The sequence below is a fragment of the Homo sapiens genome, chromosome 2 (assembly GCF_000001405.40).
Source record: "Homo sapiens chromosome 2, GRCh38.p14 Primary Assembly".
In the NCBI taxonomy this organism is placed as follows: domain Eukaryota; kingdom Metazoa; phylum Chordata; class Mammalia; order Primates; family Hominidae; genus Homo; species Homo sapiens.
The window spans coordinates 143,155,657-143,174,981 of record NC_000002.12 but is presented as its reverse complement, the minus strand read 5'-3'; the positions used below and the strand labels follow the sequence as shown (position 1 = coordinate 143,174,981).

Here is a 19,325-nt window from a genome sequence, read left to right as displayed (position 1 = left end):
TAGTGTTGTTACTTTTTTAGCAGTGGAGTGAATAACGTTGATATGTCTAATTAATACCCAAAGAGAATTTTCTTCCCATTTGATCAATTACAAAAATATTGTTAATATTTTTTCGGGATACATTGTGTTTGTATAAAGACTTCATTATAGAGTCATTATTCTACTTTTTCCAGGAGGAAATGTGAATATGAAAGAACCATTGAGTAGCTCCATTGTCCCTCCAGATATGGGGGAGACCATACTGATTAATCTGTACCAATTCTTTTAACAAGTAAATCAAATAGGCACTCAAAAGTGCTGCATAATTTCTATCACTTCAACTGAATTCATAACTCATCTCAGTTCTTATGAAAAGAAAATGAATAAATTGTTAAAAATCACATATAAAGAAATAACCTATAGGCACACAGATGCTTTATATGACCTGGAAAACAAATAGAATAGGTAGGGCTAAGCATACTTGGCAAACACAACAAAAAAGGAGAAAATTTTTCTGAAAAAATAAGTTTCTTTAGAGTATTTTGTATGTTTCTTTTTTTAAAAAAAATTAAAAGCTCAGTTAGTGTTTGCCAATTATGGATGGGAGAGATGTTGGAACACAGTGCTCTCAAAGGTGGTGATCAAAGTCTTTTCATTTAGCTTTTTGTGACTATTAAGCTGCTCATTTGGTGAAGGTGATCATTAGTGTCTTAATGTGAAACAAAAGCTTCGGGACAAGAACTTCTGGTTGAAGATCAATATGAGAGATAACGTTTCAGTTACAGCTTTAATAATTGTAACTGTAGGGAGCCTGGCAGAGCTGGTATTATGAATTAATATAATATATAATCCACCAGGTACAAACGGAGAGTACAAATAAAGGAGGATTGCTAGCAGTGACTACACTGGGAATATTTGGGTGAGAGGGAACTGTTTGATAAATGCGACGTTGACTCAAAGTGGGCACCAGTACAGTCGCCACAATCACATCGTTCAATAAGAGAATGCATATCTGAGGGGCAAATTGGGGAGGGAATTCAACCAAGGAGAATAAAACTCGGAACGACCCCTTGAAAAGCGATTAATTTTGCACATTCCATTATCCTATAACGTTTCTTGTGGGATTTTTTTCTTTAAGTGGGTAAAATCTAACATACGGTTGACATTTTCATGTGATTTGCTGCTGAGGTACTATTGTACTCTTGAACAGAAGTTACAAACAACTTGGTCCAGAGACTGTTATCAATCTACCAAAGATATAATATGCCATTAACCTTTTCTGATTAATAGAGCTTATCATTTTATCCTGGGGCAAACTGTAAATGAAAAATAAAGTTCAAAATATCCACTCAATTTACTCCAGATAAAATTAGAGGTTTTTTTTAAGTTTTGTGGATTATCTTTATTATCTGTGTGTAGCTTCTTTATATTTACCTTGATGTTTGCCCTTTGATTCTATCTTTGAACATTTATTTTGCATGTTGAAGCCAGTTATCATTTTCCAGACATTTTCCTATCCTTTCTGATGTTGCAATGAGATATTCCCTCCCTTGAACCAGGATTGATATGTTTATGGGAAAGTTAAAAGTACAAAATAAATTTTCAGTTTTTCTTTTATAGGAGACGAAAAAACATTTACAATATATAACAATCTCTAAAATTGCTTAGTTTTTATCAAAACATACATTTAAATATATAATTATAAATACTACTTGTATAACTGTGCATATTTGTATATGATTATAAATTATATCCAAAATACTTGTACATGAAACAAACATCTCGGGTTTTTTAAAATATTTTTAGGTCATATATACCAATATTTACATCTACTAGTTTTGACTCATTTTCAATTCCTTTGAAGTATTTTTGTCTTCAAAGAAACTGAATCCATAGTTACCTAAGTGTTTGTGTGTATGTATATATATTTTTTATTTGAGTCTTCTTGGGCACCCCTTCTTTATTGAAATTCATGGATGTCAACTGACATCGTCTGGTTCACTCCCCCTTTTCCAATCAGTCTTTTAACTTCTTTGTAGGCTCCTTAAAGGTTCGAGCCCTCTTATATTTCTACGCTTTGTCTCAATGGGATCTTGGCTATTTCTGTAGCATTAAATACCATCTGTTGGTTGTTGACATCAAAATTATATCTCCAAGGCATATCTATTCTCTGAGCTCCAAACTCACGTAATTGATTGTCCCTATGACACTTTCACTTCGGTGTGCACTGAAATCTCAAGCTTCTCACAACCGAATATGACCCACTTGACATCTCACCTCACCAGATCCCTGTGATATTTGGTTCTTCCTGTCTCAGTGATTGGCACTATCATCCACCCAGTTTCTCCATCTTGACTCTCAGAAGACTCCTACTTTCTTTCTACCTACATCGAACCCCTCTGCAACTCTTTTCAGTTCTATATTGACAATGTCCTTTAATTGTTTTGTTCCATCTATACCCACTCAACCAATCTAGCACAAGCCACCACGATTTATTGAATAGAGAATAGGATGGACAGGCTCCTTAATAGTGTCCCCATTTTCTCTCTTCCTCTCCTAACCTATGCTTTACCCAACAGAGAGACTTATGTGCTTAAAATCCTTTCGTGGCCTCTGATTGTGCATCAAATAATAAAATCTAAACTCCTTGTAGTCGACTGCAAAGCCCTGTGTGATCTGAGGAGTGTCCCTACTCTCACCTCACTCTTAATTCACTCTGATCTTATATTAGCCTTAATCTCTATCCAGTGTTATTTTGTTTGCAGCAGCGAAGTGTCCTGATTAAAAATCACATCTCCCAGTCTTCCTTGAAGCTAAACGTGAACATTTGATACCCTTTTGAACAACGAGATGTAAGTAGAGATTGCTGAATGGGCTTTCCATGGAAGCTATTTAAAAGAGAGCAGGTTCATCTTGCACATGCCTTCTTCCCTTAATGCTTGTCTTCTTTCCTGCCTGGAATGTAGCTGAAATGCTAAGGATAAAGCAGCCATCTGCTGGCCATGAGAAGAGAGGCAATAGGAAAAAAAAAACTACATTCTAAAGATGGTGAGTGGAGAAAAATGATAAACCTGTGTCTTTGATAATGTGTTTAGCCAAGCACAGCAACTGCTCTGAATTATTGTTATACAAACATTTAAAAAGAAAAAGAGAAAAAAACCCACTACAGATTTATTTATTTAAATCACTATGTCCACTTTTCTGCTACATAGAGCCAAATGGAACCTTTAATGGTTACAGAAGGTCATGTGACCATTCCTGGACTGAATTCATTATTCATAGGGGTGGACGGATTCCTTTCTTAGGGTTAGGTACAGCTTGAGGCAGTTTGATAAGCATTATTCTTTATCAAATTTTTCATCAACAAGACTACTAGCATAGTTTTGCTAGACACAGGTGGAATCATCTCCAACTTTCCCAGCCTGGTTGTCGATGTAAGGGTGTAGTTAGTATACATAAAAAATTAAATCCCCAGCCTGCCTTTCTACTGGTGCTTTCTGTAACTCCAGCTCCATCTTTAGCAATATAATTGTGGTTACTATACTCTCCAGGATGCCTTATTTTACTGCCAGTCCCCCACTCTTCCTGCCGTGTTGTTTCCTGTGACTTCCAGTCTCTAAATGGATATAGAAAGAGGAGCAAAGACGAAGAGCAACAGAATTCTGGCTATTTTAGAAAACAACACCTGTGTAGCACAGGGATGCTTGCCTAGTATTTGGTGGGTTTGCACATCATAAACTCTGAACCACAAGGCAGGCAGTAGAAAAGATAAGCTGCCAATTTCAGCCTCAATGAATACAATAGTGATATCCTGAGGTCACTCCATGTTCATGAGGTGAAGCATAGCTGAACTATTATTTTTCTTCTTTAATTCAGCTCCTTTAGCTTTATGACTATGAGGTATCTCTAAATTCTATTTTTTTGTTGTTGCTATTCTTGTGTTTTTGCCCTCTCTGTGTCTTCAGGAATGTTTTCTCCAGAAATTAGAATATTATTAGATGTTACTAGCCACCTAATATTCTAAACCTTTTAAAGTACCTTAGGTTGAAAAAAATTAAATGCTTATTTTCATCAAGGTTCTGTTGAGGTTAGAGAAAGTGTCTGACTTCACGGAGTCTTCATTGTAACAGGGGATCTATAATATGAACACATAAAATGCTGACTAATAATAATGAGGATAAATAAGTTTTTAAAATAAAGCAGAAAGAAATGCACTAAAGTTGTGCAAGGTGAACAATTACAGAATCAATCAAAGGAATAATTATTATAGGAGTTCAGATGAGAGAAAGGTCAGTCAGAGAAAACTAGGCAGGGGGTTGAGTTTTAGTTGGCTCTCTGAAGTTGAATAGAATTTTAATAGGCATAACGGAGAATACACATCTGATTCCCACTCATTCTCTTAGCCACATTGAACATGGCAGAATGTATCCACAAATGCATGCAGTAGGGAGAGTTTCAGGGCTTAGGGTCAGTAACACAGAGTGTGCCCCAGCATGTCGAAAGCTTGAGTTTTGGTTGGTATCAGGTATCTTTAAAGTCACATCTCAGTCCAATCATGTATTTGTTGGTGGCAGTGGTGTGGGATTAACCAAATCTTCTTTACAGGTGCACTGCTTCACTTAAATACAAAGTAGTCTCTCATCAAGTTATAGCACTTAGCATAATGCCGAGTACATATAGATGTCCCCACATGGTAAACATTTGTATTATTGTAATGTAAGAGCTCACTGTGAATTGTAGCTGAGGATGGAAGTCAGCAGACATTGTTACAGGAAGAATAATAAAACGCAGAGGTGATTTTCCCTAAGAATCAGAAGCTGCAATCAATCAAGAACAGGTTGAATAAGAGTTCAGGGTGGTTTAAAATATAATGGTTCAGAATGTAGGTGGGTGTTGGAAGCTCATTTGCTGAAAAGTGATGGTCAAATGGCAGAGTGAGGCACACAGAGCAGCTCGAAGGTACAGAGCCAGGCCTGACAAAAGGACTTTATACAAACAGGTGGCATAATGATAATAGCAATTTTCTACAATTTTTATAGAATCTGCATCATGAAGATTTACTTGAGGGGATAATTTACATCTGGCTTTGACTTCCTAAAAATATTTCTAATCCTGGCTAGAGTGCAATGTTACTGGTCAGATTATTGAACCTGTATCATGCTCATAACTAACAAACAAAAGCATTACTACCTCTACGACACTGGCCACTGATAGTTCTGATTGAACCTGGAGGGCCCACTTCAGTTCTGATTGAACCTGGAGGGCCACTGACAGTTCTGATTGAACCTGGAGGGCCCACAAATGCTTTCCATATCTACCCATGACTGACACTTTGATTTGTCATTGGCAATTCAAATCAGTGCCCTGGGTGTGTCCCAGGGGCATTAGTGTCTTTGGGAATCAGCAAAGGATAATGTGTTCCAAAGTTTCATTTATGCAAATAACCACCTGAATACATGAAATAACTATTTTCTCCTATTTCAAAAGCTTCTTCCTACCTAGGAGGCAACTCGGAAAAGTTATACTGAAAGGAGACAGGAGTTTTGCAGTTATCTGCATGACAACTCAGTTTCTTATGGTCCTCAGGGGACATACAAATAAAGTTGGAATAGATATGCTAAAGCCAGCATCACCAACTCAAATGCCAGATAGGTAAAAACACCCCATGAAGGGGGCCTGGCTGGACTGTTTTGAACTAGGGAGAATTTGCCCCATCTAGAGGAGGCAAGAGATACTTAGCTTCAGCTAGTTATTGCCTGCTTCTTGGGGAACCAGCCCCAGATGCCAGAATTTCTGATTTTTTGAGACATGTCACAAATACAAATTTTCATGTGAAATCTCAGAATGTCAATATGTCAGCTCAATTAGAAAGCAAAGAGGAGAAAGCACTGTCTAGGCAAAATAAAATACATCTTTAGGTGGAATTCAACATGCCAGTTGCAAGTCGAGAAATTCTAAAGAGGCCCTTGGCCATGTAGCATTATCTTCCTCATGTGAACCTGCTTCTCTATCCATTAAGGCTTCTATTTGGTAAAGCAGAGATGCTCCCAAAAAAGACATTTTGGCTATGAAGAAGTGAGTGGAGACTGTTTGTAGAGTTCATTTTATGTTGTTTCATTTCTTAATGGATGTTACATGTCAATGGAAAAGGAAATAAAAATTCTAACAAAGTTTAAAAGTCTCCAAATTAATTAGTGAGAATGTAAAGTAAATGATGATAATTAGATGACTAGTTAAATCGAAGTTGATTTAAATTTTGTATAATATTGTAAGGGCCTTGTGTGATTCTTTATGATAAGATTTACAAGTGCACGGCTTCACTTAAATACAAAGTAGCGTCTCTTCAAGTTTTCAGAATGATTAAAGTTAAATCTTAGATAACCCAGAATAAACAGAGTATTTAAAACTTGATGACAAGAGAACACCTTTTCCACAGAAAACCATGGTTACTTTTTAGTGTTACTTGAAAGGCAGCAAGATGTTTCTTAATTTATAATAATTTAAGAGACTAAAATTGAAATTAGGACCAGTCATGGTGGCTGAGGCCTGTAATCCCAGCACTTTGGAAGGCCAAGGTGGGAGGATTGCTTGAGGCTGGGAGTTCTAGACTACCCTGAGCAACACAGCAAGACCCCGTTTCTACAAAAAAACTTGAAAAACAGCCAGGATTGATGGTGTGCACCTGTAGTCCTAGCTACTGGGGAGGCTGAAACAGGAGGATTGCTTGCACTTGCACCCAGGAGTTCAAGGCTGCAGTGAGCTACAAACATGCCACTGCACCACTACCCTCCAGCCCAAGCAACACAGCCAGAACCTGTCTCTAAAATAATAAATACATAAATAATTGAAATTAAGTCCAAATGAGAAAATCTGAATAACAAAATTCCTGTTTAGCTATGTAATATAAGCTACTTTCACTACCAGTGAAATGTGATAAAGACTACACTTCTAAGTTTATGCTTTATGGCTGTCAACTTCTAAGTTTTCAAATTTATGACCAACAGTTGTTATTTTCTGACTTACCACATTATGTCCTCATCTGTGAACAGCCAGTCAATAGAACAGCTTTAAGAATACCAAGTCAAATGTCCTTAGGGCCAAGCAGGTAATGCAACCTGCAGGAAAACACCACAACTCTAATGAAAGGCTTTCAAATTCAAACTATTAAAAACACCATTCCAACCAAATAAAAAGTACCTCTGGTCATATTGCCTGGGTGGAGCCACCACTTGATGGTAACCCCTGTTTAGACCCATCATTTTCACCCTAGAGTGTGAATACTAAACATGAAGTTGTCATTGTTTTTGATGAGGAAAAGTCTGAAACAGGCCTCTGAAGCATAGGTGAAAAAAAGCAACCAGGGTTCTAGGTACATGTTGGTGACCTTGGGGAACAAGGTTTCATCAAAGCAGTCAGATGGGAGATAGGGGGCTCAGAGTTAGAAAGGGCAGCATGAGTGGTGGCAAGCTCAGGTTAACAGTCAAAAAGTGAGAAACCATGGTCTTAAATGCATACTGAATCCAATCTGGGTTTCCTGGGCCATTCTCATAGCAAGACTGCTGTCCCATTATCCATATGTAAGAAAAATAAGGAATTGTGAGGTCTCAGTAGAGCCTATTTTGTCTCCTGGTTAATGTAATTACCTTTGCTTTGATGGGGTGCACGTTAGTAAAATGGCCAGCAAGTACTTTAAAGGCTACAATGGCATGATAAGAATAAAGAATAGATAAGAATAACACTAATGATAAAAACTGCTTTGGCAAGTTATAATTAGATCATGTACAAACCACAATCAACCCCATAAATTATGGCTACTTGAAGGACAATGCTCAGTCAGACCCTAGTAGCAAAGATCAAAGTAAAATTTTTAAGTCAAGAACTTGAAAATTTTGAATGCTCTGTAGAAGTTTAAATTATGTCTGTGTTCAGTTTTCGTGTTGAAACAAAAATAGTTATAGACATCAAATATATTAACACTTTCATTCGTATTCATAAAAATTATTATTTCAACATCAGTGAAAAGTTTATCATAAATTCAAAAAAGACTAAGGAAGAAGGAAAAAGAAAGAATGATGAATAAAAGAGGCATTATAAATCTAACCAGATAAGAATACTAGCAGCTTGACTTGTTACCAAAGAAAGTACTTCAATAGCTTGGGTACACCAAACACAAGACATAGGAAATAGGTCAAAGTGCGCAAGGGAGTTTAAAGTAGGTTAAAATCAGGTGGAATTCTTATAATTTGAAGTTTTAAAAAATCAAAGCTTGTCATTTGAGATATACAACACACAGAAATTCATCCTACAGGAGGTGAACGTCTCTTTTTTACAGGCCATTTTTAAGCATAGTGTAAAGTATTTGTGGTAAAATGCAACGTACTTGACACTAATACTAGTTTGAAGAGGTGGTGGTGGCAGTGGCAATGAGGATGTCTAGGTAGCTAACAGCAGAGTCTGGGCTATTCCAGGTAAAGATTCTACCTCACTTGAATGTAACCTCCTAGAGGACAGAGAAACTTTTTGGTTTATGTCCCCAGCCTTCAAAGGAGTCTCTGACATACTGTTAGTGCCAATAAAAATGTACAAATAAATAAATAAATAGATGAAATGAATAGATGAAACGTGTTCTCCTATTTCCCACTTTGGGGACTCTTAGAGGGACACACACAGGGGCAGGATTGAGATGGTGACCACTCAACGAGCAGGAATTATTAATGCAGAGACCTTAGGACACACCACTAGAGTAAAATTTCCTAGGATCTATAAACTATTAGAGGACACTAGGGTGAAAATAACAACAGCAAGATTCCCTTAAATGTAGGGCTGTGTTACCCAGATTGTGTTGTGGATGAGAATAATCGGGATGTCACATGAATAACCTGTCTAAAAGTCAAAGGTAATTCATTAGCATTTTCAAGACAAGAAAGAAGATATTTTTTTTCTTTCTTTCTTTCTTTCTTTTTCTTCCTTTGTTTTCTTTCTTTTTTTCCTTCCTTCCTTCTTTCTTTCTTTCTTTCTTTCTTTCTTTCTTTCTTTCTTTCTCTCTTTCTTTCTTTCTTCTTTTCTTTTCTTTCTTGACGTTAAAGGCATGGAGGTTAAGGATAGTACATCCAGGAATGTAAATTTCTTTCCTATTTGATGATGTGTTATTGGCATTAATACTGTCAATAATTCATGGTAAAAGAGGAAGTTGCCATGAAAGGTTACCCATTGTCAGCCTGTAATCAATAGGTAAGACCACAGTGTGTGATGTATTATCAAGTATCAGCCAGATTCACTTTCTCATGGCTTTAAAAACAGTGGTAGTTACACTCAGTTTGTCTAACCTGAGCTAAGCTTATTTGTTCATTAACCTTTCACTGCTGATTACAGAATATCCCTTGAATACATTTTTTTAAGTACAGAATATCAGCTCTTGCTATTTAATTTGTGTGTTCTGGCAGTGGGCCTCTAGGATTTGCCCCATGTTTTGATGTTGGCGTTTACATTAGAGCAAACAAAACTGTCACTTTGTTTTCCTGTCTTCCTATATTGGGTCACTTTGTGCTACATGATATGATCTAAGACAATTCAATGCAAGGAGACACATGTCCCTTCTCATTGGAAATATGAAGACAGCAGCTTTATTTTACCCTGTGGGAAAGAAAGCAGGTTTAGTGTCCAAAAGTAGTGGAGGAAAGTTGGTGTCATCACTATTCTTCCTTCACAGAGATAATGTAAGAGCATAAGGCAAGAACAGCACTGGTTTCTTCACAAAGGAATAAAAAGAGATCAGTACTTTGGTCATTTATGTTTATGGTACTGTGGAAAGGTACTTACACAAAACAAAACTACCATTTCTCAACACTTTCAAATACATTTTAAATCTAATAACATCTTGGAATCTCAGAAAAAAAGTTTATTGAAATCACCTCGTAAGGGATACATAAAAAAGAATAATGATTAATCATTTGGCTTCCTTGATTTAGGAAGTAAAAGCATGATTTATTTCCGTTTGATTTTCAGGGTTTCTGACATCTAAAACATTTTGATACTTACACATTTATACTTAATTTTGTTTTATAATTTCCAAAAATTTCACTAAAATAGTGATATATAAAATAATTTGGACATAAACTGATAACACGTCTGTGTCAGCCCATGTAATTTTTGTTATCAATGGTTTTTGCACATGGAAAACTGCACCAGATATAACAGTGACTATAGTGCTTACTGGAAGCAACATGCTGCTTTTTCTCCAGAAAAAAAAAAGCATGCAATGTAGTAATAATAATGATGACATGAAATCTAATAATAATAATGAGGAGGAAATTCAAGAGGAAGAGGAGAAAAAAATCAAGTAACTGAATTTCCCCTGGGTTTTTTCATTTTTCCCCAAACATTCTGTCCTTTTTCTCTGGGTATGTGATTTATCTTTAACTTCAGCACATCCATAAATCTGCTTGACATATGACAACTATATGTCCTATTGCAAATCAAATTCCATATCTCTTCCCCCAATAAACCTATTGTCAGTGCATTGGAAGTGAATAGGAATCATAAAAATCCATCACCTCAAAGGAGAAGCATATGAGATTTCATATAGAGAAGATGGCATCATTTCCGTGAGATTGCCACATTGCTGTACATTTGCTAATTAGTTGTAACATGCATTAATGTAAAAAAAATGTATTTGCCTTACATGTTATTGTTTGGAGATGGTTCTGCTTATCAGTTTTTAATATGCTCTTTGAAAACTGACACGTACTTTACCCACATCTCTTTAGGAACATGGGGATTCAAAGGCTGGATAAAATACTTTAATGCTTCCTAACACAAACCTGAGAGGATAATTAAACAGATGGTAACAATAAACCGAATCTGAACACATCAGGGACTGAAGTCCCTTATTAAAAGCCTTGCACACTGAAGGCAGTGGAAAGAAAAAGAATGAAACAAAAAATAAAACTCTGGGGAAGTGTATTAGCAGACAACACCTTTATGTCTGCCTTGACCTCCGAAGCAGAGGCTAATCAACCGTTTAGGGATGGGTTTCCTTCCACCTAGGAGAGGCCATGCAAGAGGTCTCCTGCACTCTCTGAGGAGCAGAAAGGCAAAGTAATTGTGTGATTCTCAAGGAATGCATCTGTTCCTCAGGCTTGCCTTCGAAGGTGTCATTTTTAGACACACAAATTTTATAGCTATAAACACACCGCCGCCCCCACTTATATCGCCTCCTCCAAATAGCAAATCTTTCTAAGTCAGAGGACTTGTGCTTTTCTTCTGCCAAAGGGCAAAAACTAGGTACTATAGATTTCTGTGATGACACAGATATTCTGAATATTTTCTGCCACATTCTTGGCAATAGAATGATCTCTTATTTATTCTGTCCTTGAAACATATTGGAAGTCTACTTGTTTCTCTGATCTTATTGTCAGCTTGTCCTGAGTTATATTTACAGAAGAAGAACCTTGAGGCAATCTTGATATTTCAGCTTGTAAATATATATGTTATTATTTTCTCCTGGAACATAAAAATAGGTCCAAATATAAATTATATACAAATACATCTCTCCATATATTTCTATATATCTGTATATAGATATGTATATATTCTATATATCTATATAAATAAAGAAATGTGTGTGTATATATACATATACTACCTGTACACATACATAGAATCTACTGTATACAAGGAAGAGTCTAGTTATTATGGAGGCCTGCAAAAATGTTATTGTGCCATCACACAAGCAAAGATGCTACCGTGCCATTACATAAGGCACTTACAACCTGGGGGATAATTGAGTCAGTGTTTGCTGTTCTGTTTCTCAACCTGCTTCAGTTCTCTGCTTCACTTGCCAAGATTTTAAAGTGCCATTTATCAGAAACATTCAGCATCAGTACAGCAATGATTTAGCTTAACTAAGTGCTAGCAAGCAAAGGATAATATTTGACATACTGTGTTTTAGGTTAATCAAGGTTATAATGATGATCTATTAAAATACATTTTTGAAAATTGAGGCAGATATTAAAATGGGAAGACATACAGGCATAAATAAATGTAAATTAAATGGTAAACACCATTTTCTAGCTTGCCTTTTACCTGTTCGTGAGTGCACACTGCCATTAAACACTCTCCAGTTTTAATTTTTGGGTGTTAACATCTGGTAAATATGTAAAGAATATTCCCATCTGCTGATACAATTGTATGTAAAGTGACACATATCACCTTGGGAGTTTGCCATAAATTAAACCTCTCTTAATAATATTGACTATGGTTCCAAAGTTATTTTAAGAGTGAAGAGTATTATAAGAATTAAATAAGAGATGCTGCAAAAATTTAGTGGAAAAGCATAGTTGCTGGCACACAGCGTATTAGGTAACCTTTTTTAATTAGAAGGTACACTTTTAGATTACTGATTATGAACATCAGGGGACCTGAGATTTTGATTCATCAGTAATTCTCCTTTATGTCTAAACTAAGATGTAAAAATGAGACCTCTGGCTCTAACTCCGTATTTCAGAGTCTTTCCATGCTGTTGCAGAAGCTGTGTTACCTGTAATCTCTAGTACTGCTCTGCCCCCTTGTGCTGCTGCAGTGAACTCGACAGAGGAACAGTGTGCCTTCGTCTCTGTACATGAACTACAGAAAAACCCCACTGTCACTTCTCACTTTTCTGGTAAGTTCAAGGTCAGTGTCTAGCTATTTTCAGCTCATCTCTTCTTGATCCATGCAGAGAAATGACAAGGTAACGTGATTCGGGGTCAGCTGTATTACAGGAACCGTTACATAAACGGAGAAAGTGAAAATCAATCCTAGCTGACAGTGACTTCGGGATAATCAGCGCTCACTGGATGCCTCTGTCAGTTCGCCTGCATCAAACACCGTGTGACTTCTGTCAGATCTTTTTAATAAAACTATATTCTCACTTTCAGCAACCTAAATACATGTTCCACTGGAACTGAATTTTTTAGACTATTTTAGCCCTCTAGATTTGTAAACTATCCCAATATTTCCTTGAAACATCTCATGAATGATATCTGTCATTCCATGGTTTGTTATTGACCTGAGATGAAAGGTGTTACTGTGAAACATGCCATCCTTTGGGTGATCTAGGTGAGCCCTCCTACAGACGGCCGCATCTTCTGCCTTGAACTCAGCACCACAATCTCAACACCATTTCCCAAATCATCCTCAGCTCTCACTCTTCTCTCCTACTCGGTAACAGAACACTTAATCAATCATTTCTTATTGGGAGAACAGCTTCTTGCTCCGTTCTAGTTGTTCATTGTTGCTTTCCTCTCTACCTTTGTATTTTCCACTAGTTCATTTCCCCCTCATATAGAATTGGAAGCAGTATTTGACAAGATGTTCCATGTTAGAGGCATTCTCGCTGACAGCACCTGATCTGTCAGTCTTGAGAAGGAGCTATTTTATCCCACCAACCTTGTGGTCCCTTGAAATTGTGAGGCACGCAGTACTCAGCTGAAGTACAATTTACCATAATATTAGTTGTCAGCAAATTCAAAGACGGAACTCCTAAAGCTATAAAATGGATTAGAAGCAATTTAAAAAAAAATTAACAAACTAGAGTAAGAGTATACTGTCAACAAACAAATGCTCCATCATAGGACTGTAATTTGGAATTTTAATTACCCCTCTGCTCTGTAACAAAACAATGTCTGAACTGGCAGCGATTTGAATCTCTCACAGGTCATTGAGCATTCTAGCTAATTACTCTATGAATAGCCTGTTTTTCTCCCCTCTGGAAACACGTTTCTAATGGCAGTCAAGGTCTGACAAATGTGTCATCTACATAATTAGCTAGGAAGCAACACAAAACATTAAACATGCTTTGTGCCGACAACTATCAAAACATTTCATTTGTTGTCAATTATTCATTACTTTGTAGGTTCTGAAGGGGTTGTTATTATGGAAATAAGTCCAGATGCTAACAAGGTTAGAGTTTTGGATTCAAATTAGTAATCAGAGGACTAACTTTTAAAAAAATGTATCTCATGTACATTCAGCACCATGTTCTATCAGTAGGAGATTATAAACAAATTTAGCTATGCTCAGGTTAAGATGGAAACGGTGCAGCCACATATGTGGTTGTGAGAGCCCTAGCTCTTTCTTTGAAGTATGGACTCTTCACTGTCGTCATAAACTTTCTGAACCTTTTGGCAAGTCCAATTTGTGCTTGGTAAATAGAGTTAAAGATTTTCACAGCATGAGATGGCAAAGGGTGGCATGGACAAGGAAAGAAATCTCCAGTGGTTTTTGAATCTTCTTCTCCCAGGGGCATATTGTGTAAAAGTCAAAATTCTAGCTAACAAACTTTTTCATCTGTTCTACAGCATGTCTGCAAAATACCTTAGGAAACCTTCGAATTTCATGCTTATTTGTTTGTTGCTGTTTTTAAAATCTTGTTTCTTTTATTATTTTAATATTGTATAGAAAGCACTGTCTTGAAAGCAGCACTCCTAATGTATATAGAAAATATTAAAAAATCTCAACAAAATTGCCCTCCCAGTGGTAAAGAAAATTGCAGTGGAAGACACATTATTGTGTAGTCATATCAGAGGCCTGGATCTTTGGAGAGTCTCACTCCACTGTCCTCCAGCTTTTCCTTATAAACCAAAATGGCTTACAAATGTCATCCACAATAGTCCAATAAAGATTAGGAACAAAACACTGTCCTTACATTGATGAGATAAGAGAGATTTAACTGAAGAATGCAGTGTATAAGAACAGTTCATAAGGCTTGTTCTTGAATCAGAAAAATAGAATTTAAATTATATTTGTGTGTGTCTAGAATTTAATTGAGATGATCAGTTTATTTTCTACATAATGTTTGGTCAGATGCCTGTACTACAGAGCTAGATAAAAGGAAAAGAAAGAAAACAAATTCTATCAGGGAAGTCAAGAAGACCCGTTATCTACAGGGTGTGCAAAATATGTCAGGAAATAATTCTACCCTGAGCGCTGAGAATGCCCAGTTAATGAAAAAAGATCAGCCACTCGCTACGAGAAAATAATTGTCTGTATCTATGTTTTTCAAAGCAAAAATACAGACACATCTTACACTAAATAGGACACATTAAAATAAGCTTTAATAATCTTTATGCAGAAGGAAACTAATCCATTTTCAGATCATACGATCCACAGCAATAAAAGGAAATCATCAAACTAAAAACAATTTTAGAAATGGCTGCAGACTCTCATTTAATTAACATGCAACAGATCATATATTTATGAGGAAGTCAAAATATTTAGGAATCCTATAATCCTGTAAGCCTTAATGTGGTATAAAAACAACAAATAAATGCAAAGTGTTACTGTTACACATGCCTGCCTGATCAATGGTTTTCACATATTGATCTATAAATGGAGTTGACAGTCTGTGTTGGCTGCACATTTTCCAAGCAGCGCTATTTTTGCACAAAACCAATACGGGCAATTACCTTTGTTTGAGATGCCAAGTCTTATCAATTCAATGTGATTTAGTGTCATTTTAATTAAATATCAGGATCCACTTCAGGACAATTTATACAAACAAAGCCTCAAACCTAACTATAAGCTTGATTTGAAGTAAACATGGACAAGCCCTACAATCTCATAATATTTCTTAAAAACTCTACTAAACAGAAGGTTTATATTTTTAGTAGCAATTTTTATGTCTGCCTTTTTGGCTAGCCACAACTTTGGCAAGTATCCTATAATCACAGAAGTAAGAAACAAAAGAAAATTGTTTCCTCTTTTTTCTGATAATATATTTAAAAACTGAACAAACAATCTGTTAATGGAAGTAAAAGGAATCTTGTATGTTAATGTTTAAAAATGGCTCCACCTAAGTCTTTATCTGAACACCAATAAAAAATATTTTCCTGTTCATGATGGCCATGAATGAAGTAATGCCGTTCTGTGGCGTTTACAAGATGGAAACGGTGAATATTCATACACGTTGTTGCTTAAGACACCAGCATTAAATGCCGAAACTACTCTTGCCTGCAAATCATATGTCTGCAGTTTCCTGATTCGGGCTATTTAAACTCCTCATTAATATCTATTCTAAACTGTGTATTAGGCAGGAGCATCTCTCTTATAAATAACATCAAAGCCACATTAAACCTTTTGCAATAGCTATTTGCTGCAATGCACATTGGTCTTTTTAGCCCTTAAACAGGCACAGTTCACTTGCCCCCATCTATTGGCCCTCAGCTGTCTGATTTTCTGTTTAGCACATTCTGGTAAATAAGCTGTCTACCTTTAAGAGGTCTCACTCTGGTGCTCAGGACGGGACAACAAATCACTGAGACCAAAGACTGTTCTTTCCCCACCAAAGGGAGCTCTCCAGATCTCTCTTACAGATGGGCGATTTTCTTGCAAACCACTTCCCCCTCTCGAAACTGCCCACCTCTCCAACATTTCCCACGTCAAAAAGTAACTTCTTTGAATTTTGAAAAGGCATTGATTTTATTAACCAAATTTTAGAATGATTATTTGATGTCTAAAGAAAACGATGCACATCACCAATAAAATACTAATGGAGGATTCATATCTGTTTTACTGAGATGCTTTCCTGCAACATTTAGGTTATCAAAATTTCTAACTTAGCAAGTAAATTCACCTACGTTTGCATAGCTGAGGGTTGGATAAATGTTTATATTGGCATTTCATAGCATTCCTCATTTAAGATAACTAAGAATCAAAGCTTTTACGACATATACAGGAGAATTTTGTATTGTGTTCTAAGTTAAGAGTCATATTAAAAACATTTTAATTGAACAAAATTTACGAGAGGAATTTATGAATTTGTGAGAAAATTACAGAATTGGTTTGACTCTAGAATATTTTATCATTTTTGTAATGAATTAAGTCATGATGAATGTAATATCAGATCCTTGTGTTATTATATAGTCCAGTAAGTCATACTGGATTTGCATAATTGTTATACTAGTGAACAAGTAGTATGCATATGCCATATATATTAAGTAGGATGCATGACATATGTATGATCTCTAAATACTTTTGATTTTTTTCTGTACAGACTACATGTATGTGCCTCTGTTACAACAAACCCTACTGCATTTGAATATGTGCCCACATTTTTAGTACCCATCTCTTCCCACCTCTAAATTCAAAATCTCCCCCTTGACCTCACCCCACCACCCAACTTCTGAAAAATCAAGTTCTTAGTTTAGCTTGAGCAGATAACTTTAACAGGCTTGTTTGAATAAATATGCCAAAATACTTTACATTCTGTCAGTATCTAGTCAGAAAATTGTGCATGGAAAAAAGAGATGAAAAGAACTGAGACAGAAAGAAAATTAGTGCCATGGCAAGCTTTCAATACAGTATCTCTGAGCCAAGTTTTCTCGGTGAAATGACACATCCTCACTAAAATACCCCTTTTATATAATTATGCACTGAGCACACATAACCAAAAGTAACTTTTATTTTTGTTCCTTATCGAGGAATACATATTGCCCAGGCTAAGAATGCGGAAACAAAAGCTGGGATAATTATAGCTAATTTAACTTTGGAAAACTCTTATTCTCTAGCAGTCCAGCATACAACCCCCCAAACTAAAGTTATGTAACAAGGTAATATCAACAATGAGAAACTGCATGATAAAATCCTGCCCAAAAGTGAAAAATGCTAATTTTGTCTCATTTAGCAGCTGGATACAGAAATGCTCATTAGTTTTAAGAGGGTTAATCCTTTTAACTTTTGCATATTGATATGCCAATTATGCCTAATTGTACAAGAGGCATCAGTCAAGGTAATAGTGCATAAACACATGAAAGTTATTAAGTACATCCCAACATGTAATAAAGTAGGTGTTAATTGGTAGCTGAGTTCTGCAGGCTATTGAGGTGGATAATTCATTGAGAGATGGATCACTTGTAATTTCTCTCCATAATTCCTTTTGCAGTCTCATGCTGTGATGTTTTCATGCTTGTCAAAAACAACTGCGGCATAGTGCCTTTTGTTAAACACAGCCAATAAAATATGTTAGGCATCATTAAATATACTTAACTTTTAAACTTTTTCAAAGGTACAGTTCTTACTGATAATACATTATAGAGATTCCAATAATTTACTCTAACCACTGTCTCAAGTTCATAGTTGATGAACATTTTAGCTGGTTTAAAAGCAAAGTCAGGCTGGCAGTGTTGTACCTCCCAGGAGACAATACTTTTAAATGAGAAAGTAAATAAAGAAAAATGCATATCTCATTAGTTACTTTATCTAAGGATGTAGTTCTCACTCTCCAAATATAATCACTGGCTTCCTCATGCTAAATTTGTCTACAACACCTGAGGAAAGAATGATTAAAATCACATATTTCTCATGTTCCTGAGATTGCTGTGGGTTAATTTTTTGAGTGAAAAATGGGGAATAAATACAATTGGTAACATGCTACTCAGCAAGTTTATCTCATTTAATAACTCAGTTAGGAAGCTGAATATTTCATAGGCCCCTATGATATTAACAGAACACTCAATTAATAGCTCACATGTTTCTGCAGGGTGACTGGAACTCAGCCTGTCCCCAGCTAACCTATTTCTCCTCCCTCTTGCTCTCACTGTGAGAAACAAAATAGATCTGGGGTCCAAAAGAGTGGCTAACATTGCATAAATAATTTTGTAACATCCTATGGCCTCAGCTGCAAGTTACCACCATTATGGAAGAAAATTAACCAGAGGAGACTCATCGCAATCAGTGGGTTTAGTGGCTCAGGATGCGTGCAGGGCCAGCGACACAATTGGCAGTAGAGTTCATCTCTAACTATTTTATTTCAAATCTTCCTAATGACACATTATCGAGACAAAATGGCTTCCTCTCCAAACCTTAAATAGCCACAGCATTTCAATCCTTTAAGCCCACTCCAAATCAAATCATAATTTCCAGTATCGTATATTATTGGGAGATTTTAAGGAAGAGATTTTCACATTTTTTTTTTTGAGATTTTTTTTTTTCTCAATTCATTCTTAGCTAATTTTAGCCTCTGGCTTTTCAAAGTGATGTACTGTATTTGGAAGTACAAACACCACATGCTAGCATAACCTCATTATTTTTATGACACTGAAGCATGATAGTAGAGGCCCTTAAAATGAGTCAAAGGTGCTCTTCAGTCTAGCTCCAAATCCACTTTATCACTCTGGATTAAGCCCAGCTCTTCTCTTGCAACTGGGGATATTATCATGACTGTAAGTATGCAAGATAAAATGCATTACAAAAACAGTTTTCTCATGCACATTAGGAAAACAAATAAAACAAGACTAATTAGCTTTTTTTTTTCCTTTTACAAAATTCTGTATGACAAGGAACTTGGGATATTTGGGGTATTTGACTTA

The 19,325-nt window shown here is 36.1% G+C and overlaps 1 protein-coding gene and 1 long non-coding RNA gene across 10 annotated transcripts in view; both read right to left on the bottom strand.

Annotated features, from left to right (window-relative positions):
• ARHGAP15 (Rho GTPase activating protein 15) overlaps positions 1 to 19,325 on the bottom strand; it is a 638,934-nt gene that overhangs the window by 593,371 nt on the left and 26,238 nt on the right. The window lies entirely within an intron of this gene.
• On the bottom strand, positions 1,575 to 19,320 carry LOC107985949 (uncharacterized). The gene is made up of 2 exons (XR_001739723.2): positions 5,266 to 19,320; positions 1,575 to 5,205 (listed from the first exon to the last, which is right to left on the bottom strand). It is a non-coding gene; the product is annotated as an uncharacterized LOC107985949 (long non-coding RNA).